The sequence below is a fragment of the Homo sapiens genome, chromosome 1, assembly GCF_000001405.40.
Source record: "Homo sapiens chromosome 1, GRCh38.p14 Primary Assembly".
NCBI lineage: Eukaryota > Metazoa > Chordata > Mammalia > Primates > Hominidae > Homo > Homo sapiens.
The window spans coordinates 244,904,921-244,931,095 of NC_000001.11; the positions used below are offsets into that span (position 1 = coordinate 244,904,921).

The window sequence follows — 26,175 nt, forward strand, 5'->3', positions numbered from 1 at the left end:
TTGACAGAATTTCGCTCTGTCGCCCAGGCTGGAGTGACAGTGGCGCGATCTTGGCTCACTACAAGCTCCGCCTTCCGGGTCACGCCATTCTCCTGCCTCCGCCTCCCGAGTAGCTGCGACTACAGGCGCCCGCCACCGCGCCCATCTAATTTTTTGGTCTTTGTTTTAGTAGAGACGGGGTTTCACCGTGTTAGCCAGGATGGTCACGATCTCCTGACCTCGTGATCCGCCCGCCTCGGCCTCCCAAACGCCCGGCTACTTTTTGTATTTTTAGTAGAGAGTTTCGCCATGTTGGTCAGGATGGTCTCGAACTCCTGACCTCAGGTGATTCACCCACTTCGGCCTCCCAAAGTGCTGGGATTACAGGCGTAAGCCACCGCGCCCAGTTTCCTTTCAACTTTTCTCAAGGATCTTCCTTCAGACTGAGGGCTGTGTTTCTGGCCCTAGCCCTTGAAGTTTTGTTGTTGTTTTTTTCAATAATCAGTAGTTCTGAACATTTCATTTCCCAGTTTCTGTGTTCTTTCTGCCCAAAGCTAAATTCTAATATTTCAGTAAATATTTTCACTGGTTCTGGCAGCATAGTATTTTATCATGTGACAATGCCACTGTGGGTTTATAGAACCATTCGTTCCCTGTTGAGGGGCATTTATGTTGTTTCCAACTTTCTGATATTATGGTGAAATGCCACAGTGGGGATACTCGTAACCTAAATTTTCCCACATGTCTGATTATTTTCTCAGGATAAATTTCTAAAAAGAACTGCTAGGCTGGGCATGGTGGCTCACGCCTGTAGTCCCAGCACTTTGGGAGGCCGAGGCAGGTGGATCGCTTGAGCCCAGGAGTTCAGGACCAGCCTGGGCAACATGCAAAACCCCATCTTTACAAAAAATACAATAATTAGCCAGGCATGGTGGCATGTGACTACAGTCCTAGCTACTCGAGAGGCTGAGGTGGGAGAATTGCTTGCGCCCAGAAGGTGGAGGTTACAGTGAGTGGAGATCGCACTACTGTACTCCAGCCTGGGGGACAGAGTGAGACCCTGTCTTGAAAAAACAAAAAACAAAACAAACAAAAAAAACCTACTAAGTTAAAGGGTAAGAACATTTTTTAAGGCTAAAGGCATATTTTGTCCGTTTTGTCCCATTACATTAGGCTTGCTTTTGACACTTAACTCAGTGGTCACGAGAGTTTTCCTACCAACTCTCCTCCCACTATTTACTTTTTCTGTGTCAGCTTCTTATCCGGTTTCATCTGTCTGATTTCCTGTATTCCTTTTTTTTTTTTTCTTTTTTTTGAGATGGAGTGTCGCTCTGTTGCTCAGGCTGGAGTGCAGTGGTGCGATCTCAGTTCACTGCAGCCTCCCGGGTTCAAGTGATTCTCATGCCTCAGCCTCCTGAGTAGCTGGGATTACAGGCTCCTGCCACCAGGCCTGGCTAATTTTTGTATTTTTAGTAGAGACAGGGTTTCACCATGTTGCCCAGGCTGTTCTAAAATTCCTGGCCTCAAGTGATCCGCCTGCCTCAGCCTCCCCAAATGCTGGGATTACAGGAGTGAGCCACCATGGCAGTCCTAACACTGCTTGATTTTATGTCTCATTAATCTTCGCATTGACTTGTTCATTAAATAAGTGCGGAGCCCCCATGCTGTGCCAGCAGTTGTGCTTGGCTAAGTGCAGTCAACAAGATGATCAAATCATAACAGAATGTGGTCAGTACTCTGTGGACACTAACATAACCCTAGGAAATAATTATAGGGGAAAGGTTGACTTCCGAAAGTTTGTTAGGAAAGTTATTTTTTATTTTTACTTATTTACTTTTGAGACAGGGGTCTCACTATGTTGCCCAGGCTGTCCTTGAACCCCTGGACTCACGCAATCCTCCTGCCTCAGACTCCTGGGTAGCTGGGATTACAGGCGTGCACCACCATGCTCCGTGAAAAGTTCTTTCTGAGAAGATGAAACCTGAAGAATAAGAAGGAACCAACTGGCCAATGAGCAAGCACATGAAAAGACGCTCAGCATCATTAGTCATTAGGAAAATGCCAATCAAAACCACAATGAGATAGCACTCATAACACCCACTAGGATGGCTATAATTAAAAGAAAAGGGGGAGGAGGAATAACAAGTGTTGGCAAGGATGTGGAGAAATAGGAGCCCTTGTACAGTACTTATGGGGATACAGATTGGTGCAGCTGCTGTGGGAAAGTAGTTGAGCATTTCCTCAAAAAGTTAAACCTAGAGTTACCACGTGGCCCAGCAATTCAACTCCTAGGTATGTATCCAAGAGAACTGAAAACATATATTCACACAAAAAGTTATAAACAAATGTTCACGAGAGAATTATTCATAAAAGGTCAGGTGCAGTGGCTCACGCCTGTAATCCCAACACTTTGGGAGGCCAAGGCGGGTGGATCACTTGAGGTCAGGAGTTCAAGACGACCCTGGCCAACGTGATGAAACCCCACCTCTACTAAAAATACAAACAAATTAGCTGAGTGTGGTGGCAGGAACCTGTAATCCCAGCTACTCAGGAGGCTGAGGCAGGAGAATCTCTTGAACCCAGGAGACGGAGGTTGCAGTGAGCCGAGATCACGCCACTGCATTCCAGCCTGGGGAACAGAGTGAGACTCCATCTCCAAAAAACAAAAGAGGAATTATTCATAAAAGTCAAAATGTGGAAACTACTCAAATGTCCATCAACTGATAAAGAAAATGATAAAGTCATACAATAGAATATTCTTCAGCCATAAAAAGGAATGATGTGCTAATCCATGCTACGACACAGGTGAACCTACAACATTATGCTAAGTGAAAGTTGCCAGAAATAAAAGGGCACATATTGGGATTCTATTTATACGAAATGTCCAAAAGGGACGAATCTGTAAAGATAGAAGTAGATTAGTAGGTTTTGTTTGTTTGTTTGTTTTGTGACAGAGTCTCACTCTGTCGCCCAGGCTGGAGTACAGTGGTGCGATCTCGGCTCACTGCAACCTCTGCCTCGGGTTCAAGCAATTCTCCTGCCTTAGCCTCTGTAGTAGCTGGGATTACAGGCGTGCGCTACCACGCCCCGGCTAATTTTTGTATTATTAGTAGAGACAGGGTTTCACCATGTTGGCCAGGCTGGTCTCAAACTCCTGGCCTCAAATGACATGCCCGCCTTGGCCTCCCAAAGTGCTGGGATTACAGGCGTGAGCCATCGCGCCAGGCCTAGAAGCAGATTAGTATTTGTATAGGTTGCAGGAGGGGAAAACGGAGAGTGACTGCTTTTAATGAGTATGGGGTTTTGGGAGCCGGGTGATGAAAATATTTTGGAATTAATAGTGGTGACGTTAGTGGATGACTGGATGCAGGAAAAAAAAATAGTGGTGATGGTTGCACATCATTGTGAGTATGCTCTAAAAAACAATAACCACTGAATTGTACACTCTAAGATGGTTAAAATGGTGAATTTGTTATGTGAATTATTATTATTATTATTTTTGAGATGGAGTTTCACTCTTGTTGCCCAGGCTGGAATGCAATGGCGCAATCTCGGCTCACTGCAACCTCTGCCTCCCAGGTTCAAGCGATTCTCCTGCCTCAGCCTCCCGAGTAGCTGGGATTACAGGCATCTGCCATCATGCCTGGCTAATTTTGTATTTTTAGTAGAGACAGGGTTTCACCATGTTGGTCAGACTGGTCTCGAACTCCTGACCTCAGGTGATCTGCCCACCTTGGCCTCCCAACGTGCTGGGATTACAGGTGTGAGCTACCGCACCTGGCCGTGAATTATTTTGTATTGAGATGCAATCACATGACATAAAAGTAAACATTTCTTTTTTTTTTTTTTTTTTTTTTTGAGACAGAGTTTTGCTCTTGTTGCCCAGGCTGGAGTGCAATGGTGCGATCTCAGCTCACAGCAACCTCTGCCTCTCAGGTTCAAGCAATTCTCCTGCCTCAGCCTCCTGAGTAGCTAGGATTACAGGCATGCGCCACCATGCCCAGCTAATTTTGTATTTTTAGTAGAGACGGGGTTTCTCCATGTTGAGGCTGGTCTCGAACTCCTGACCTCAGGTGATCCGCCCGCCTCGACCTCCCAAAGTGCTGGGATTACAGGTGTGAGCCACCGCACCCGGCCAAAATTAACCATTTCTAAGGGTGCAGTTCACTGGCATTTAGTATATCCACAGGAATGTGAAAAAAAAAACAAAAAACTACACTTAAATGTAATATGCGGACTGGGCACGCTCATGCCTGTTATTATCCCAGCACTTTGGGAGGCCGAGGCAGGCGGATCACTTGAGGCCAGGGTCTGAGACCAGCATGGCCAACATGATAAAACTGTCTCTACCAAAAATACAAAAAAAAAAAAAAATAGCCGGGCTGGGGGGCACGTGCCTGTAGTCCCAGCTACTAGGGAGGCTGAGACAGGGGAATCTCTTGAACTCTGGAGGCAGAGGTTGCAGTGAGCTGAGATTGTGCCACTGCACTCCAGCCTGGGCCATAGAGTGAGACTGTCTTAAAAAAAAAAAAAAAAGTAATATGTGGAAAGGATGTCAGTCTTCCAGTTACTATTTTACTAACTTAAAAATAACCTTCCAAGGAAAGGTATTAAGAAAAATTACTGCCAGAATTTTCATTTCGATTACATGGACAAAAATTGTGACATCACAAAATCAATCCCTTTTTAGTGATTTTATACAGTTATGAAGTGTATGATCTTTTAGATACCAAAAGCAGGGGGGACAGTCACCATCAATCATAAACAGCACAGGCCAGGCACGGTGGCTCACGCCTATAATCCCAGCACATTGGGAAGCCAAGGTGAGAGGAAAGCTTAAGCACAGGAGTTGGAGACCAGCCTGGGCAACCTAGGGAGACCCGGAAGGAAGGAGGGAAGGAAACAGTACGGGGAGTCCAGAGTGACGAGATCCTCATCACCACAGCTGAGCTGAGAACGGGTGATGCAGGGCTGGGTGTGGTGGCTCACACCTGTAATCCCAGCACTTGGGAGGCCGAGATGGGCAAATCACTTGAGGCCAGGAGTTCAAGGCCAGCCTGGCCACCATGGTGAAACCCTGTCTCTACTAAAAATACACACACACAAAAACAACAACAACAACAACAACAAAAGACAGGTGATGCAGGAGAACAAGACACAAGCAAGGAACAGAGCCCATCCAACACTAGAATTCACTGGCGCATGTATATCGATATTGATACTGCTGTGTATTTTCTCTTTTCTTAATAGTTTCAACATTTCCAATACTACATTTCCCAGGACAGTCTCCTAATTAAGTCTACTTCTTTGCACCTAGAGACCACTCGTCTTTTATATTCTGATAATTGACCCTCTCCTCAAATCACAAGGTACACAAAGAAGAATGAGGTTATTTATACATCCTTCCATCCATTCATTCCAACCGACCATCCGGACAGGAAAGTATTACTGAACAGCAACTATAGAGAAGGTGCATAGTTTCATTTTAATAAATGTTTTAAAATGGCTAGGTTGACTGCTAGGTTGAAGAGTTGCAACAGCAGCACCTGTGTGGAAATTCAATACCACGGCCAGGCAGTAAGACTTTAAAAAGCAACCACTTGTGGTCGGGTGCAGTGGCTCACACCTGTAATCCCAGCACTTTGGGAGGCCGAGGCGGGGGGATCATGAGGTCAAGAGATTGAGACCATCCTGGCCAACATGGCGAAACCCCATCTCTACTAAAAAAACAAAAGTTAGTTGGATGTGGTGGCGCACACCTGCAGTCCTAGCTACTCTGGAGGCTGAGGCAGGAGAATCGCTTGAACCCGGGAGGGAGAGGTTGCAGTGAGCCGAGATCATGCCACTGCACTCCAGCCTGGCAACGGAACGAGACTCCATCTCAAAAAAGAAAGAAAAAAAAGCAACCACTCACATGAGGTGGGAACAGAGGTCTCCACTGTTAATTATTTGGAAAGATCATTCTCCAGGAGAGAAAAGGAAGCCTGACAAACTTTTTATATTTGTGTCAAGCTCTTCTAATACTAGAAAGGCAATTTGGGGAAATCTGCAAACTCCTGGGTGGGTGACCTCTGCCCCACATAATACACAGATATATTTTTCAAATGGAATAGGGTCTTAATTTCCAATGATGGGTTTTTAAAATACAAAATTAGTACAAGTACTTTGGGTGAGTAACACGTCTAAAGAAACTATGCAATCTGAAAGTTGCGGCCTTAAATGTGCAGTCATTTAGCAATTGTTTTGCTATGGTTGTTCTTATTTATTTGTTTGCTTTTTACTATAAGCAAGTGGCTTTTATCTCTCTGTCCCTCAATTTCTGTATCTGTAATACAGAAATTATAAATGTAACTGAAGAATCGGGTTGTTGAGATTATGAGTTAATGCATGTAAAGTGCTCAGAAAGAGCAGCAGCTGGTACGCAGTGAACACTTAACACATGTTAACTGCTATTATGGTTATTATTAGTAGTAAAATACATACAAAGTCACACTTAATTCAGGTCTACCAAGAATCTTTTAGTGCTTTCAGTATGTTATTTTAAAAATTATAGTGTGATGATTTGGTAATCACTATTTTCTTGGGGATTACCAGATTTTTTTTTTTTTTTTTTTTTTGAGACGGAGTCTCCCTCTGTCGCCAGGCTGGAGTGCAATGGTGCAGTCTCAGCTCACTGCAACCTCCGCCTCTCAGGTTCAACTGATTGTCCTGCCTCGGCCTCCCGAGTAGCTGGGACTACAGGCATGTGCCACTATGCCCAGCTAATTTTTGTATTTTTAGTAGAGACGGGGTTTCACCATGTTGGCCAGAATGGTCTCGATCTCTTGACCTTGTGATCCAGCCACCTCGGCCTCCCAAAGTGCTGAGATTAGAGGCGTGAGCAACTGTGCCTGGCCTGCAGATTACCAGATTCTTTGGCTAGAAATAGAAATTTGGATATTTCAATGAGTTCAATTTTCATGGTGAAAACTGAAACAGATAAGAGGATTCAGGTGACTAAATATAGGCAAAGCACACAGAATCCTTGCAAGAATAACTTCTGATGGGAAAGCTGTATTTTACTCTAGATCAAGGAGAACATGAAGGAAGAATGGAAACCGTGGTGGGTCTGCAGAGAACTACAAAAATAGGTTACAATTTGAGCCATGTAGAAATCACAGTCACTGGGATTCATGCAATTACGCTGAGAGATAGAGATGAGAGTCTGCATCATCGTGACAGATACAAGAAGTGATATTGGGGCTGGGCTTTGTTATTTCCATGGGATAGTCAGGTACTGAGTCAAAAATTTGTTGAGATAAAAAAATAAAAATAATGACAGGGGAAAAACCTAATATAATTGACAACAGCACTGGTCTAGTAGAGAGAGCACGGCAATCCCATGAGTGTTCATGGAAATGGCCATTTATTTATTTATTTATTTAGAGACTGGGTCTCACTCCGTCGCCCAGGCTGGAGTGCAGTGGCACGATCTCGGCTCACTGCAGCCTCTGCCTCCCAGGCTCAAGCAATCCTCCCGCCTCAGCCTCACAAGTAGCTGGCACTAAAGATGCACACCACCACACCTGGTTAATTTTTTTGTATTTTTAGTGGAGACGGGGTTTTGCCATGTTGCCCAGGCTGGTCTCAAACTCCTGGGCTCAAGCGATCTGCCTGCCTCGGCTTCCCAAAACGTTGGGATTACAGGCGTGAGCCGCCCCACCTGGCCAGAAATGGCCTTTTAAAGGTAGCCATACTGTGCCTCAGTTTCTCAACTATCAAATGAAAATTAAATGGAGGCAATTTTACTCTACAAAGTTAGAAGACCGAAGGAGTAAATGTGAATGTTCCTTTTTAAGAGAGACCTTTGCGAAATTTAACATTGTATTTGGATACTGCCATGCATTTAGTCTTCCAGATTAACTTTGGAGTCACTTTGCTAATTTCCAGCAAAATCCTTTTGGATTTTTTGTTTGAAATTGAGTTAAAGTGTAGATTAATTTGGAGACAGTGTTTTAATATGAAATCTTTCCTGCTGGGAACAGGACATGCCTCTCCATTGACTGAAGGCTTCGAGTGCTTCAGGAGAGATTCTTAGTTTTCTTCCTAAAGTTTTCTTACACTTCTCATTTTGTTTGTATTTAGACTTATATCCTCTTTGGTTGATATTTTGACTTCTCCCACTCTATTTTGTAACTGGTTTATAGGAAAGCTATTTTTTAATATCGGTCTTATAACCAGCTACTTTATGAATTCTCTTATTCTTTCCATCAGTGTTTCGTTGATTCTCTTGGGGTTTCTGACTACACAGACATAGCAACTGCAAAAAAAAGGGAATCATTTAATCTCATTTTCCCAATAGGCTCATTTCTTCATCATCTTTTTACATGGGCTAAAACTACCAGAACAACATTGAATAATGGTGGCGATGAGGGGACACACTTTGTGCTTTTGTTTCAGATTTGTAAATGAATGTCTATGGGATTTTATCCCTAAGTATAATGTTAGTTGCTGATTTCAGTTAGAAAAATGCTATCACATGAAAGAAGATTCCTTCTACATTTTCTTTACTAGTGGTTTTTCTTTTTTCTTTTTTTTTCCTTTTTGGAGATGGGGTCTCCCTATGTTGACCAGGCTGGTCTTGAACTCCTGGCCTCAAGCAACCCTCCCATCTTGGCCTCCCAAAGTGCTGGGATTACAGGCACCAGCCACCGTGCCCAGCCTCATTAGTGGTTTTTCAATTTATTACTTTACTGTATTAAGGTTCCTGCTTACTCAAAGTACTTTCCATAAAGCCCCACAGGACTCATTTTTGTCAAAAACCTATGCACCCATTCCAATTTAATATATAATTATGAGATTATCAGTTAGTACTGTCATAATTTGCATAATCATTAGGACCTGAAAATATGAAGCCCCTCTTTAATTAATATGATGAAAATTAAATTCAGGAAATAAGCGTGATACATAAGCGCCTCGTGTAAGGCATTTTATGAGACGCTCCTGAACAGTGTTGCTCACTGAGGGGCCTGCAGCTCACTTGAAGTGTCTCTGTGAGAATACAGATTGATGGGCTGCACTCCGGAATTCCTGAGACGGAACTTGCAGAATAGAGGCCGGTGGCCGGGCGCCGTGGCTCACGCCTGTAATCCCAGCACTTCCGGAGGCCAAGGCAGGTGGAGCACTTGATGTCAGGAGTTCAAGACCAGTTCGAGAGATGGTGAAACCCCAACTCTACTAAAAATACAAAAATTAGCTGGGCGTGGTGGCGCATGCCTATAGTCCCAGCTTCTTGAGAGGCTGAGGTGAGAGGATCATTTGAATCCAGGAGATGGAAGTTGCAGTGAGCCAAAGATCACACCATTGCACTCTAGCCTGGGCAACAGAGCCAGACTCTGTCTCAAAAAAAAAAAGCGTGAACCCGGGAGGCGGAGCTTGCAGTGAGCCGAGATCCCGCCACTGCACTCCAGCCTGGGCGACAGAGCGAGACTCCGTCTCAAAAAAAAAAAAAAAAAAAAAAAAAAAAAAAAAAAAAAAAAAAAGAATAGAGGCTGGGAAGCTGTATTTTCAAGGAGATTCCCAGGTGATTCTTACACATCTTATAGTTTAAAACTCTGCCACAGAGAATGAAAGATCAAGTAAAACATACAGAACTTAAAAAAAAAGAGAGAGAGACAGAGGCCTGGTGCGGTGGCTCATGCCTGTAATCCCAGCACTTTGGGGGGCCAAGGTGGGCAGATCACCTGAGGTCAGGAGTTCGAGACCAGCCTGGCCAACATGGTGAAACCCTGCCTCTACTAGAAATACAAAAATTAGCTGGGCATGGTGGCAAATCACTTGAACCCAGGAGGCAGAGGCTGCAGTGAGCAGAGATCGCAACACTGCACTTCAGCCTGGGCGACAGAGCAAGTCTCAAAAAAAATTTTTTTTAAAGAGAGAGAAGAGTATATTTGAACTTACCATCAGAGAGGCAAAGCTAAATTCATCATGAGATAGTGATTAAACTGGTTGTGAACATAATAAAACAGCTCAGCCACGCTCATGCACCACTGTTTGTCTAGGCTTAGTTCTGACTGCTTCTAGGAATTCCCTTCAATCACTGGGTTTTCCAGCTGAGCCATACAGCCTCCAATGAAGGAAAAGAAAGGAGGCCAAGTCACTGGGACTCTTTTTTTTCAACTTTAACCAGAGCAGCTCCACTTACATCTGTTACGGTGTTTTAGGGTTCTGAGCAATATTTTTAAGAATAAAAGTTTGAAAATTATCGACTGACACTCTTTAAATTGTTTAGATTAGATTTCGTAAGATTGCACCCCTGTCTTACTATCAAGTTTGATCCTTTATGTTGGTACACATGATTAAAACTCAAGAAGTTCATGGCCGGGTGCGGTGACTCACACCTGTAATCCCAGAACTTTGGGAGGCCGAAGTGGGTAGATCACTCAAGGCCAGGAGTTCAAGACCAGCCTGACCAATAGCCTTTAGTAGAGACCAACCCTGTCTCCACTAAAAAATTCAAAAATTAGCTGGGCGTGGTGGTGCGCACCTGTAGTCCCAGGTACTCGGGAGGCTGAGGCACGAGAATCGCTTGAACCTGGGAAGCAGAGGTTGCAGTGAGCCATGGGCGAGCCACTGCACTCCAGCCTGGGCAACAGAGTGAGACTCCATCTCAAAAGCAAAACAAAACAAAACCTCAAAAAAAATTGATTTGAGCAAATTTGACAAAATCTGTTTTACATTTTTCTTTTCTTATACATCTCTCTCAAAAGATGAAATATCTTCTATATCATAATTTTGCATATAATATGTAATGCTTCTGTGAATTTGAGGGCATTCTATGACTATTATTATTATTATTATTTGGAAATTCTCTAATACTGTGTTTTAAAAGTTTTGGAAAGGGAGAAAAACTCCAGATGAAATACTGAAGGGGTAATTGATGTAGTTCTGTCCCAGTGAAGGGAGCTTATGTTCCCCCCTTCACTGGGACAGAACCTGCATCAATGACTAGGGCAGCAGCTGGAGCTTCTGACGCTCACGCTCCGGTCACCTGTTTGTTTTGGTGCTCGTCCTCTCACCACGCTGGGCTCCAGTTCCTTCTTGGATAAACTGAACCAGTTGGAGCATGAGATTTCCAAGATTCTTCCCAGCTCTACAAGTTGATAACTTCTTTGTACGTCAAAGAATCCCACATAGACTTAGATTACGGCAGGCTCTCTCTCATAACCAAGAAAAAATTCTGGCCAATTTTCAGACATGGAATAATGCTCCGTATCAGTATACATTAAGATTAATTTATTCTAAGATTAATTAATTCAGCATAATAAGTATCTGCTTATGTGTAATTAAAAGGAAATTATTTTAAGGGAACCTGAGCTAATCATCGTGTTTGTTTTTTGAATATCAGCATGATAAATTAACTTATTGTGTTCCATTAAGATAACCAGTTCATTGCGGGCAAGGATGGCATATGAAATCAAGCCCAGTATCTCATTTCTCCACTTTAGGTTTTAGTTTCTCCTTATATTTATTTTTTAAGACAAGTTTTTATTTTACAGGTAGGATTTCCTCTCCTCCCACAGTCTCTGCAGAGCTGAAATTTTCAAAGCTTTCTTTTTTCTTTTTAGTTGTGCTCCATGATTTCTCACCAGTGCCCACTTCTTATAACAAAAAAAATGAACTAAGTTGAAATAGGAGCCTCTTGTCTATTTAGCAAATACTCTCTGTGCACAGCCTATAGTCCTAGCAGTGTTAGAACACTGGAAGGGAATGGGGTGGCCATGACCTTGAGAAGCTCAGGCCTTCTCAATGCCCTGGAAAAAGTGGAAGCCATATTCAGTATATTGATGTCATGATAAGGATGATACTTAACAAATAATACTTTTTATCTTTTCAACAAAAAATCCTTAGCAACAATTGCTTATGAAATACACATTTGAAACTTTAACAATCACGGTATTGGTTTGAAGCAGAGCCTTAGTAATGTCCCTTAGTGGTTGTCGAAACCAACTGAAAAACAAGATAATTAGTGAATTGAAGTAATTAATAATATTTTGTGATAAGCACCACTAACAAAGAAGTAAAGACAAGTACATGAAATGACAGCTGCCGTACATAAGAATCACATTTCCCTTCCCCTCCTAAAGAATCCTAGTAGGATATCTTATAAAAAGAGAGCTTCTGGGGTAAGGTGACTTAGAGGGAGAAAAAAACATGCAGATATAACCTACAAAAGGCATCCCAGTCTATTCTTTGCTTAGAGACTGCAGCATAGACACTGTTCCCATGAGGCAGGGTCCCACAGGGTTAAAAACCTATCTAAAACAATTCTGCAGAGGCAGCCTCTGACATTGCGTTGAAAGGGTCCACGCACTCTGTGAGCTCATATTTATGACATACATAGGGTTCTCTTTGCTGGGCAGTTCTTTCCCTTGTGTTGAAGAGACACGTGATAGTTGACCCTCACCTCACGGCTCCCTCACTTGTGAATTAAAGTCAGACACTGCCGTAAGGTTCTTCTGGTTCCTGCTTTGTGGAGAAAGCTTTCAGCAGCAATATCTGGGATCACTGGTGTATTAAATGTCAGGCCTCGCATCATTATTCTGCCCTGAGCTGATGGTAAACCGGGCACCCAGCCTTTTAGCTTTCATCCAGCACGAGGGAACTTGCCTTCAGATGTGACACGTACAAGTCAAAAAAGCTCAGAGTCAGCTCCAACGTCTATTGGATCCCACTCTATCGCCTTTAAAAAGGAAAAGAAAATCGAATTCACAGAACCGAGGCTAAATACGACCGTTAAGAACGGACTGCATTCACCATATTTCCATGAGAGTGGCAAAGAGAACAAAGATAAATGCCAGGCTACATCTTGGATCCTTTGCCAGCTTGTGGAAGAACTTAGCAGAAAAAGATGTGAACTCTACTGTTTAGGAATAAAATAACTTTTAAAAATAAATTATTGAAAAGTGTTATTTGGCTGTTTCTTTTATGCATTCAAAAGCAAAATAGTAAGAATCCAGTGGACTTTGAAATCTTCCTATATGTTAAAAAATAGGCCGGGCGCGGTGGCTCACGCTGTAATCCCAGCACTTTGGGAGGCCGAGGCGGGCGGATCACGAGGTCAGGAGATCGAGACCATCCTGGCTAACACGGTGAAACCCCGTCTCTACTAAAAATACAAAAAATTAGCAGGGCGTGGTGGTGGGTGCCTGCAGTCCCAGCTACTCGGGAGGCTGAGGCAGGAGAATGGCGTGAACCCGGGAGGCGGAGCTTGCAGTGAGCCGAGATTGCGCCCCTGCACTCCAGCCTGGGCGACAGAGCGAGACCCTGTCTCAAAAAAAAAAAAAAAAAAAAAAAAAAAAAAAAAATAATAATAATAATAATAATAATAATAATTAGAGTCCACCTAAGGTAAGAATCTAGGACTCATTTTTGTATTGAAATTTCATTCCTTGTAATTCATATTTTTTCATGTGATCCCTGAAATAAATTAAAAAAGAAAAAAAAAGGTACCAGTGCTCGTAAGTAGAAAGTGGAGAACTAAACGACTCCAAAATGTGCAATATGTTGGGCACTGGTGGCCAGCTGGTAAAAATCTTATGAGAGTTGCGGGTTTTCGAAATATATGTAATTTAGTTATCTGTCAAAATGAGATCCGCATCTACATGGCTTTACCCAGGAATGCAGAATTTGAGACTGGAGCGTAGGGAGGGAGAAGCCTATGGGTCTTGGGTTTTCCGGAATTGGATTATAAATACGAACAGGTTTAAAGAAATAATGAGGCCGGCAGCGTGTGCGAGGAGCCCCGCGCTTCCTGGGCACCACGCGGCGGGACCCGGGGAGGCAGGCGGGGACCCGGGGAGGCAGGCGGGGACCCGGGGAGGCAGGCGGGGACCCGGGCAGGCAGGCGGGGACCCGGGGAGGCAGGCGGGGACCCGGGCAGGCAGGCGGGGACCCGGGGAGGCAGGCGGGGACAGGCACCAGCCCACTTGACAACTGCGCGCACCGGCGCAGCCGGCAGCTCGGGGGCGCGCACACCCACACCGCGCCACGTGCGCGCGGGGGCTGCGGAGACTACCCGAGCCGCGTGGGCGCGTCAGAGCCACCTCCGCTCTCTCTCACGTCGCCAGGGATTCTTGACGGATGATTCCGCTGTCAGATGCCAGCTTGCCTCTGTCACACCGTTTTCCTGAACGCAGTAGCCATGTATTTGAAAGCCGTGTCATGTGTGAAACGAGTTTACCTTGTAGATTAGGATAAACAAAGATTCTCCGTGCTCATCCAAAAGTCCAAAGCCCCCTCCGCTCTGCAATTTCCACTTGTTATATGCAGAACTATTCTCACCTCGGGAATGTGATGGTTTTATAACTGTGGGGGCCCAAATGTACTGACTAGGACTGTTTTCCCGCACTCACCATGAGGAGGTGTTCAGTTGGACATGTGCCTAAGGATTTTTGTTGGCTTTTTATTTAGTATTTGCTCATTTTGGAAAAAAAAGTACAAACTACCTTCGAGCTGGGAGCTACACAGAGAGGCTTGCTCAGATTCAGATTTGTTTTGGTATGTCTGTTTCATAGGCTGCAGACTTCCTACTGTGTCACATCCAGTGCGCATCATACCTGCTGGGGTGTCTCTCAGGGATGTTAAGATTGATCAGTGGGCTCGGATCCTGTCAACCCGATATGTCCATTATAAAGTTCTCCTTCAGCTCTTCACCTGTGGTTTCAGCAGCCATTGATAATCATTGCTTAGATACTTCATTTCATTAGAGGTTGCAAAATGGCAATATTTTAATTTATCATTTCTTTCATGTATCAGCAGGATCTTTTCCCATCAATTATTTGGCTACCCTAAATACAGTTCATACAGGAAGGGCAAAATAAATACTTGATCCTTACTCTTTATTTTTGGAATAAAGAGTTGTTTCCTTAGCACTCTCCAAAGGTGACCAATCCATCTATTTTTGGAGCATTACTCTCAACCGGTGGATGTTACCATACTTGATGTGTCTTAATATGCTACAGTATTTATTTACTTATTTATTTGATGGCCCAAATACCCCACTTTCAGCCAGGGCTCCTGTAGCCTTCTGACACAACCATAGAAGTCTTTGACGTATTATGAAAGACTATGTAATATTCCAGGGGTCAGAGGAAGATATTAAATGACATCATGGGGAAGCAAAATCAGCAAAATTTAGAAAGTGAGAAACTCTACAGCACGCATCATTCAGTTTCTTCAACAATAGATTGCAAGGGGGTAGAGAAGGAGGGCGTGAAACTCCTCTAGGGTCAGAAGAGACCAAGAAACTTCAGACAAAAGCAACATCCGGACTTTGTTTGGATACTGGTATTTTTTTGTTTTTTTTTTTAGATTGTAAAAAAAAGAGTTAAGGAGATGGATGATGGTAATGGTTGCACATTATGAATGGATTTAATACCACTGTTTACTTAAAAATGAATAAGATGGTAAATTTTATGTTATGTGTATTTTACCATGATAAAAATAATAAATTAAAAAATAATAATTTGGCTGGGCACAGTGATTCATGCCTGTAATCCCAGCATTTGGGGAGGCTGGGGCAGAAGGATTGCTTGAGGGCCAGGAGTTCAGGACCAGCCTGGGTAACATAGTGAGACCCTGTCTCTACAAATAATTAAAAAATTAGCCAGGCGTGGTGGCACATGCCTGTGGTACCACCTTTTTGGGAGGCTGAGATGGGGGGATTGCTTGAGCCTGGGCGATTGAGGCTGCAGTGAGCCAGGATCACACCACTGCACTCTGAATGACAGAGCAAGACCCTATCTCAAAAAAAAAAAAAAAAGCAAAAGTAAAATAAAATAATTTATGAGAAAATCAAGGAAATTTGAATGCTGGCTGGCTTTTTGATGATATGCAGGAATTACTATAAAAATGCGTAGGAGTGGCAATATGATTGTGGTTATGTTAAAAAATATTCTTTCGATTTTAAAGACGCATAGTGAAATAGTATAGATGAAATTGTATCTCGAATTTGTTTCAAAATAACCTAGTGGCAGTAAGGAGAGAAAGTAATTGTGGTATGATGGATAATCATTGAAGCTGGGAGATGGGTACCTGGGGGTTCACTGTGTTCATCTGTCTGGTTTTATATATGTTTGGAAATTGCATAATAAAAAGTCTAAAATTTATTTTAAAGTACAGATTACCCTAGAAGGAAGCCGAAGAGGAACTGATAGTGGTAGAACTACACAAACTCCATAAATAAAGTCTTGCCTAATTCAGACATGTGCTACCACCTGCCAGCTGCAGTGGTGGAGTAAGAGGAAAAGCCCAGTGACTAAGCAAGGAGAGTAACTGTCTTATATTATCGAGGGATGCTCCGGGCCTGTGCTAGGTGCTTTGTATGCTTTTAACTCATTTAATCCTTACAATAGTCTTATGAGATAGATACTATTATGTTAGTATAATATCCACACTACAAATGGAAAAACTGAAGTTCAGAGAAGCCACTCTCTTCATAAACAGCAAAGATAGGCTTCAATCCATGTGGTCTGGCTTTGGAGCCAGTCTACTGATAAGAGCAACATAAGTAGCTCTTAATAGATGCCAGCCCTGTTTTAAGTGTTTTGTGTCTATTAATTCATTTAATACTCACAATAACCCTATGAGGAAGATACTCTCATAGGACCCATTTTACAGATGAGAAAGTTGAGATACAGGCAGGTGAAGTGACTGTGTAAGATCACACAGCTGGCACACGGCAGAGCCAGATGTTAAGCTGGGAGTTTGGGCTCCACCCCACCCTGCTGCCCCTCACATTATTAACCACTGGGCTACAGTGACAGCTAGCTATGCAGGCTCTTTCCTTCCTTAATAAACATTTATTGAGCACCTGCAAGAGGCAGTCTCTGTTAGAGGCGCTGGGATATGGTGATGAACAAGACACATTTTGCTTTACCTTCCGGTGACATACAGTCTCCCAGTCCCTGAATCTCTTAGGAGCTAATTTAGGAGATGAAGGGGTTAAACTCAGAAGCTCAGGCTACCGTGTTGGCACTTTCTTGTTTTAAGCTGAATTGGCCAGAGGGTGATGCATGCCTGTAATCCCAGCTACTCAGGAGGGAGGATCACGCAGGAGTTCCAGGCCAGCCTGGGCAACAGGGCGAGACTCTGTCTCAAAAAAAAAAAAAAAAAAAAAAAGTTGAATTGGAAAGAGCATTGGATCAGCAGCCCAAGAAGGGCGCTTCTGAACTTGAAAATGTCAGAGGTAAGGCTGTGAAGGAAGTTGCCTGTGGATCCTACTGCTCTACCCACTGGGTCCAGTAGGTCCCTTTCCGCTAGACACCATTCTCATTTCTTTCCTAGAATCCTCTCTCTCTTCTGCTGGGTTCTGTTCAACCCCAACTTCTTCTCTGCTTCGGAGCTCAATGAGCTCCTCTTCTCTGAAATCTCAATGCCCTTGTTGGTTGCACTAATCAATTCAATACTTAATTATATACAAAGCTTGATTGTTATCCAATAATTTTACTACGTATGTCTTGCCTCCTCACTTAAACTGTACATATTTACAAGACAGAGACTAGGTCTTATACTTCATTGATATTCTCCCAGCAAGCCCCAAGCCATGGAGTAGGTGCTCACTACATATTATTTAAATGAATAAGTCATATTTTCAATAATATTGTGTATGTTAGATGACAATACATAGAATGATCAAGAGCACAGACTCTCTCTCTTCATAGTTGTGTGCCACCAGGCAAGTTATTAACATCCTTTATGCCTTAGTTTTCTTATCTGTAAAGGAGGGATAATAGTTTCTAATCCACGCACATGGAATTCTTAGCCTGGCGCCCAACGAATGTTCAATATATGCTATCAGTCAATATTTTTATTATTACTACAACTGCCTAGTAAAGTAAGATTAGATTGACTAACCAGAGCATTTCTCCTACATGTGACGTCAAATTAAATCAGAAGTTTGCTTGATGAGCATGATTTGGTGAGCATGATTTGGTGAGCATGATTTGGTGAGCATGATTTGGTTGGCTGTGGAGGCCGTGGACTGTAGCGGAGCAAGAATGGGCATTAAAATCTCACCTCTGACTCTGGCTGTGAGACCTTGGCTTTCGTGAGCTTCAGTTTGTTCATTTGCAAACTGCAAATAGTAACAGATATATCCCATTGAGCTATCGTGCGGGCCAGATTTAATGAATGTAAAGCACCTAGCCTGACACAAAATGGAACTTTGATAAACCATTCTCTAAATATCATCAAGCCCATAGCGTCCCTCCCTACAGAGACCGTGTCTGCTTAGTAGATGAGACATTTGTGGTTGTTCATTGACTCCTTTTTTTCTAGAAAGTTCTAGTCCTCTAGAGACTCATTGTAATACCTTTGTCCCTCTGAATTCTTGGTATTTAACTATACCTCCTCCTGTTATATGCACCCAGGGTAATATGCCTCTGGCACATGGTAGGCACTTAATGAATTTATGTGGAATAATTCAGCAACTTACTTTTATAGATACATACAGACTATCCCTCTTCTATGAACTCATTCTTTCTCAGTGTATCAAACTACCAATCTGCTGAGCTCATTCACAACATTTTGGTGCTTCTTAATGTTCTCAGAGAATAACTTTCACTCTAGTGCTGGCTTCTTCCATCCACTGGTAGGGGTTTGGATCAGATAAAAGGGAGAACATCCCAGGCTGGGTGCATAATGTTTGGAAAGGGTTAAGGAAGGCCAAGTGAATAGTTCTTGACTGAAACTAAGAGTACGAGATGGGAGAAAAAATCAGAGATAAGATTATATAGGGAGGGTGGAGACAGATTGTAGAGAAACTTTAAGGTCAGGCTGAAGAATTTGACTTGATACATCAGGCAGCTGGAAAAGTCAGGGGATAGTTTACACAAGTTATAGTAATTTTTAAATTTAATTTGTGTACATGAGGTTAAAGAATTGAAGTTAGGACATGGGAGTCATTACATTTATAATGAAAAAACGCATTTCCTGTCCCACCTTCCCAACCCACTGCCCAGAGGCAACCATGATCAACTCAACCTATTGATTATTTGAATGTAATTGTTTATTTCTTTCTTTCTTTCTTTCTTTTTTTTTTGAGATGAAGTCTTGCTCTGTCGCCCAGGTTGGAGTGGCAGTGGTGCAATCTCAGCTCACTGGAACCTCCGCCTCCCGGGGGTCCAGCGATTCTCCTGCCTCAGGCTCCCGGGTAGCTGGAATTACAGGCACATGCCACCATGCCTGGCTAATTGTTTTTTGTATTTTTAGTACAGACAGAGTTTCACCATGTTGACCAGGCTGGTCTCAAACTCCTGACCTCAGGTAATCCGCCCGCCTCGGCCTCCCGGAGTACTAGGATTACAGGTGTGAACCACATGCCTGGCCGAATGTATTTGTTTCTTTTTGAGAAGGGTAATTCCCAACTCTTGCTCCATTACCTTCCCATCATTTTTCCAGTGTAGTCATATCCTTGTTTTTGTTAAATAAATAGCATTTCCATCTTTATATAGTTCACAGCTAATTACATTTTTCTTGTACACTCTTTTTGGTTCTCCTAATGTTTGTTAACTTTTACTTTTTAATGATTTTTAATTTAAAGTTTTAAATGTGTTTTTCCTGGTTAATAATTGTCTTGCTTTAAATCATTTAAAAATTTTTTTCAGAGACAAGGTCTTGCTTTGTTGCCCAGGCTGGAGCGCAGTGGTACCGTCATAGCTCCCTGGAGCCTCAAACTCCTGGGCTCAAGGGACTCTCCTGCCTCAGCCTCCAAAGCAGCTAGAACTATAGATATGCACCACCACACCCAGCCAGTTTTTCTGTTTTTTTGGAGATGAGGTCTCGCTACGTTGCCAAGGCTAGTCTCAAACTCCCAGCCTCACTTTTTTATTTACTTCATTTTTTGTGTACTTACTACTAAATCAACCCTAAATGTTCCAATAAAGATGTAAACTGATCAAATACATGAAATAACCCATTAGTTTTATTCTTTTCTTGAATACTTTCTTACCAGAACCTTCTCTGCCTATTTTAACCAGGACTGACTGCTCTCTGAGCTCACCACACACCTGGGATTTTTCTTCACCAACAACTTGGAAATTTTCTTGAACTCCTTGCTGTGTGGGATTTCCTGTTTCTTGGATCTCATGTACTCATCTTTCTTGATTTGCCATGTGTGCGTTGTGGTGGGGAGGGGTGTACATCTGCCCGTAACTTGCTGAGAAAAAGCATGGGACAAATAAAATTTTTGCTGTGCAAGAGCACGGTAGAAAATGTTTTTATTTTACTTTCTTCTACAGGCTGGGATTATGATTTTAGTTTGAAAAGCACATTTCCTCTGAATTTTGAAGGCATCTCTCAATTTCTTCTGTTGAGAAAACGAATGCTGATTTTATGTTGACATAGAGCAATATGGCGTTATTCCAATTCCTGATCTTTTATGTGTGACCTGTTTTATCTTTCTAGAAAGTTTTAGAATCTTCTCTGTAAAATGAGGATAATATGAGTACCTACCTCACTGGATTAGTACCTTAATTGTGAGGATTAAACCAATTAATATATCAAAAGCCTTTAGAATGGTCTCTGACCCATGGTTAATTTTAAATGTGCTTGTTATCAGCACATTTAAATTAATCCATGGTTAATTTTAAATGTGCTCATTTTAGTAGAATTTTGGGAGAGGTGATATAAAGACTTATGTTCAACTTGTCATATGTAACAGGGATTGCAGAAGTTAACATTTTTAAGTTTTCCTCATAGCATTTTTGTGGAGGTTATTTTCTTCCAAGACTGAAAAAATAACCAAAAGATGAAATGACTTAAGGAACTATTATTCAGGGATATTGATCAGGGCAGTGACCCAGCTAATTATAATAAGTTGGTAAACACGTTAGGATATATAGAAAGAAAGCAGGATGTTACTGTCTGCTGAGGCTTAATGCTAACATTAAATCATGTTCCCCAAATATAGTGGGTTCATTTCTACAGTATACCTGTTCATAATGATTCATCTCTGTGTCCTCAGCACGTAGGCCACTATTTGATTCCTGGTAGGCAGTAGATACAAAGCACTTGGCAATGTCTCTGACAGGAAGTAAGCAGTACCTATTAGCTCTTTATATATGTAACACACATCATCTACTTAGAAACTTTGTTTTAGTTCTCTTTCAAGTGACCTTTCTCGTGACCTTAGAGAAAGAATTTGTATGCAATTGCTAATTTCCCCATATATATTCGCATTCATTATTTTCATTTGATCCTCAAAGTGTCCAAAGAATTAAACTGAGTTTTGAAGATGGCTCTAGTGCTTACTAGCTGTGAACAAGTTACCTAATTTCTTCTTATTTTTCTCAAGACATTGGGGATCACCTCATGTGAGGATTAAATTAGATCATCTATGTCAAGCACTCAATGCATATATTAGCTATTGCTAGTGAGGTAAAGTATTATTATTATTATTATTATTTAGACAGAGTCTCACTCTGTCTCCCAGGCTGGAGTGCAGTGGTGTGATCTTGGCTCACTGCAACCTCCGCCTCCAGGTTCAAGTGATTCTCCTGTCTCAGCCTGTGGAGTAGCTGGGATTACGGGCATGCACCACCACACCCAGCTACCTTTTGTATTTTTAGTTGAGACAGGGTTTCGCCATGTTGGCCAGGCTGGTCTCAAACTCCTGGCCTCAAGTGACACCCCCGCCTTGGCCTCCCAAAGTGCTGGGATTACAGATGTGAGCCACCACACCCAGCCTAGCTAAAGCATTATTATTTTACTTATTTATTTTGAGACGGAGTCTCGCTCTGTCACCCAGGCTGGAGTGCAGTGGTGTGATCTTGGTTCACTACAGCCTCCACCTCCTGGGTTCAAGCAATTCTCTGCCTCAGCCTCTCAAGTAGCTGGGACTACAGGGGCCTGCCACCACACCCAGCTAATTTTTTTGTATTTTTAGTGGAGACAGGGTTTCACCATCTTGGCCAGGCTGGTCTTGAGCTCCTGACCTCAGGTGATCCACCCGCCTTGGCCTCCCAAAGTGCTGGGATTACAGGCGTGAGCCACCGCACCCAGCCAAGCTAAAGCATTATTAACCCTCCTTGGTGATTAGACTCATCAGAACACAGAAATTAAATGACTTGTTCACATAGTTGTGCGAGTGGCTGATCTTGGCTTAAAGATTGGCACTGAATGATTCACAGTGCAAATGTTAGAGGAGTTTAATTTATGTTCTTGCTCACTGCCGTATCCCAGCACCTAAAATAGTATCTGGTAAATAACAGGCACTCATATATGTGATTAATAAATTAACATGTACAAAAAGTTTTAATCCTGGAAATGGCTTCATAGATCATTTAATGAAATGAACCAGTTTTTCAAATTGGTAAACTGAGGCCCAGATGCTTTGCTTTTAGGTGCACCGTAGGCACGTTTTGTGTTTGTTTGTTTTGTTTCTTTGCATCTTCACAGTGCTTTTTTTTGAGACGGATCTCCCACTGCCGCTGAGGCTGGAGTGTAGTGGTACAATCTCTGCTCACTGCAACCTCCACTTCCCGGGTTCAAGCAATTGCCTAGGATTACAGGCACCTGCCACCACGCTCAGCTAATTTTTTGCATTTTTAGTAGAGACAGGGTTTCACTATGTTGGCCAGGGTGGTCTCAAACTCCTGACCTTGTGATCTGCCTGCCTCGGCCTCCCAAAGTGCTGGGATTACAAGTGTCAGCCACCGCACCTGGCCCACAGTGCTTTTTAAACCACTGAAGTAATTGTCAAATTAGGTTTGGCCACATATGAATAGAAAAGCCAAATTAGTGGCTTATATAAGATGGAGGTTTATTCCTCTCCCATGTAAAAGACAAACCAAAGATAGGCAATTCAAGATGGTGGCTCCAGAGTCAGCCAGAACCTAGGCAGCCATCTTTCTGCTCCACCATTCTTGCCATATGGCTTTCACTCTCAGTACTGTCTTATGATACAAGGAGGCTGCCAGGGTTCCAGCCATCTGCATTCATTCTATCAGGAAGGAGAAAGACGGAGAGAGCAAAAGGGGACATTTCCCAGCTGAGGTGGCTGCCTTTAATTTCCCCATTTATCTTATTATCCACCCATGGTGCAAGAGAGACTGGGAAATGTATTATTTTATCCAGGAAGCTTGCTGCCCAGATTCAAAGCAGTGTTCTAAGGAAAAGGGGGAATGGCTATTGGGTAGGCCGTCTCTGTCAGAGTTGTCAACATTTTGCAAATCAGAAATTTCCAAATAGAAATCTGGATTTTTTTTAGCTTTTCTTGAAGAATCAGAAGATGGAGCTGAGGTTTGGGGCCAGAGAGAAGGAAACAAGGAGCTGGATTTTGAAGGGAGGGCTGGATGAAATGGAGAAGGCCCATGAAACAGACTGGCGAGGGAGAAGGGAGCTGATGTTCTAGGACTTGAGAAGTGATTTAGGAATTTGCATCCCTCGTTTGGTAGAAGTAGTGCTTTGAAGGCTGAGTACAGGGGCTTACAACTGTAATTCCAGCACGTTGGGAAGCCAAGGTGGGAGGATTGCTCGAGCCTAGGAGTTCGAGACCAGCCTGAGCACCACAGCAAGATCCCATCCCTACAAAAAATTTAAAAAGATTAGTGGGGTGTGGTGGTGCATACCTGTGGTCCCAGCTACTCAGGAGGCTGAGGTGAGAGGATCGCTTGAGCCCAGGAGGTGGAGGTTGCAGTGAGCCATGATTGTACCACTGCACTCCAGCCTGGACAACAAAGTGAGACCCCATCCCAAAAAACTAAAATAGTGTTTTGAGAGGATTAAACTAGTAGAGAGTATGTATAACAAGAGAAGGCACAAAGAATAGTTAGGGAACTATTAAAGAGCTCCAAGCATGAGTGAGGAGGGTCCAGACCAGCAATGTCAATAGAAATATAGTATGAGCCATGTATGTCATTCAAAAAATTTTAGTAGCCACATTTTAAAAAGGAAAACAGATGAAATTAATTTTAATAATATATTTTATTTACCCAATATAGCTGAAATATCATTTCAACATGTAATCAATATAAAAAGTCATCAATGAGATGTGTTACATTCTTTGTTTTTTTTTGTTTTAGTTTTTGTTTTGAGACAGGTTCTCACTCTGTCACCCAGGCTGGAGTGCAGTGGCACAATCTCGGCTCACTGCAACCTTCACCTCCTGGGCTCAAGGGACCCTCCCACCTCAGCTGCCTGAGTAGCTGGGATTACACAGGCATGCATCACCATGCCCAGCTAAATTTTTTTTGATATTTTTAGTAGAGATGGGGTTTCAACATGTTGGCCAGGCTGGTCTCGAACTCCTGACCTTTAGTGATCCTCCCACCTCGGCCTCCCAAAGTGCTGGGATTATAGGCATGAGCCACTGCGCCTGGCCTGATCTGTATTTAGAGTGCATAAAATTTATAGTTGAAAAAGTAGATTCACATAACCAAGTTATTCTTCACAAACTAAAAAATTTTCCAACAACTAAATCAAGTGTATGCATTTTTACATTTAAGTTAAAATGAAATTAAAAATTCAGTTCTTCAGTCATACTGACCATGTTTCAAGCACTCAATAGCCACATGTGGCCAGTGACTTCCATATTGGATAGCACGTTCCAGACAGGGAAAGAAGACAGAAATAAAGGGCCCAGTCTGAGATGTGGCTCATAAAGGATGCTCCTCAGATGGAACACTTCTGACGAAACCTGTATTATCATTGTCTTCCAAAAGCATGGAAATTCTCGCATTTCCCACATCCCTTAGATTTGCCAGATCCTTTTACACGCCTGTGCCTTTGCCTGAAATGCTTTTCCCCTTCTTTTTGCACCTGGAAAATGTCAACTTACCTTTCCAGTCTCCATTTAAATATCATCTCTGTGAAATCCACCCCAGGTCCATCAGGACAGGCTAGTTGCCCCTAACACTGTGTTCCTATTTCATGTCTCATAGATCCGTCATGTCCTTGAGGTCGAGGACTATGTCTTGATTGTCTCTGAGTCCTTGGTACATGGCATGCAGACTTATAAGAATCGTTATTGAATGAAGAAGACCTTCCGTTTAACCACACCTGGCTAATTTTTGTATTTTCAGTAGAGATGGGGTTTCACCATGTTGGCCAGGCTGGTCTCAAACTCCTAACCTCAAGTGATGCACCTGCCTCAGCCTCCCAAAATACTGGGATTACAGGCTTGTGCCATTGCGCCCAGCCTCAACACGCTTAATTGAAGATGTCATTGATTGTAAGGTGAACCATTGTTTTGTGCATCATTAAGGAAAAAACCTGTCAGTAATAATTGTGAGACCCAGCACAATGGCTCACGCCTGTAATCCCAGCACTGTGAGTGGCTGAGACAGGCAGAACGCTTGAGCCCAAGAGTTTGAGACCAGCCTGGGCAACATGGCGAAACCTCATCTCTACTAAAAATACAAAAAAAGCCAAAAAATACAAAAGCCAGCTGATAGCTTCGCTATCAGCACTTTAGTCAGCTACATTTTAAAAGGATATGCTTGGCCTCCTTAATTCAATTTTTGCTTTATTAACTTGAATATCATTGGACATGGCCCTCTAAATAGCAGACTTCGAGGCTGGCTTCTAACTTTAAGCTCCATACATAAAATTTCCGTGGTGCAGCCTTATGTAAAACATTCATCTTCTTTAGGTTCGATATCAGTGCATACTGCTGCCCTGCGTCACACATTTGAAATTAATGTGTGTGTCTTTTTGACTGTTGTCTTTTATGAGGATAGACACCAGCATACAGCAGTACTTGAATGACAACCACAAGGATTTTTCAAAATATAGGAGGTATTCATTCCAGGGTAGCTTACCTGAGCGAGGTGCTGCAAAACAGACTGACAGCCCGAACAGACGCACCTTCACTCCTCAGGTAACAAGGAACACATTCCACTAGATATTCTTAACTTGGGCACAATCAACTTCAGGGGGATGGGGCAACTGATCTCCAGTGTAGCTGAATCCACCTTGGTTACATGCTCTAGATGGGAAGAAAGGAAAGGAGGCTTAGATGATCTCAAGTGGTAGAAAGGTATTTGGCAACATCAATTAAAAGGTTAAGTGCAGATTCCCTTTGGCCCTCCAAATTCCACTTTTAGGAAGCTACTGTGTGGAATATTTGCATAAAGACATAAATTTATGAAGAAAAGAATGATCCTTGTTTTTTTTTGTTTTTGAGACGGAGTCTCGCTCTTGTCGCCCCCGCTGTAG

The 26,175-nt window shown here is 42.8% G+C and overlaps 1 protein-coding gene across 1 annotated transcript in view, besides 2 other annotated features; it reads right to left on the reverse strand.

Moving 5' to 3' along the window:
- LOC124904588 (UPF0764 protein C16orf89-like) overlaps positions 1 to 2,614 on the reverse strand; it is a gene marked incomplete at its 5' end in the record, with an annotated part of 43,053 nt that extends 40,439 nt beyond the window's left edge. Inside the window, one exon of the mRNA XM_047439568.1 lies at positions 2,465 to 2,614. Within this exon, the coding sequence (XP_047295524.1) occupies positions 2,465 to 2,614 (150 nt within the window). The remainder of the gene's footprint in view (positions 1 to 2,464) is intronic.
- Positions 1,073 to 1,273: a silencer, noted in NCBI's record as "peak809 fragment used in MPRA reporter construct". NCBI's record gives its function as "represses an SCP1 promoter by STARR-seq MPRAs in K562 erythroleukemia cells {active_cell/tissue: K562}" and the evidence as "EXISTENCE:reporter gene assay evidence [ECO:0000049][PMID:32103011]".
- Positions 13,724 to 14,083: a silencer, noted in NCBI's record as "silent region_2022". NCBI's record gives its function as "represses an Ori minimal core promoter by ATAC-STARR-seq in GM12878 lymphoblastoid cells {active_cell/tissue: GM12878}" and the evidence as "EXISTENCE:reporter gene assay evidence [ECO:0000049][PMID:35858748]".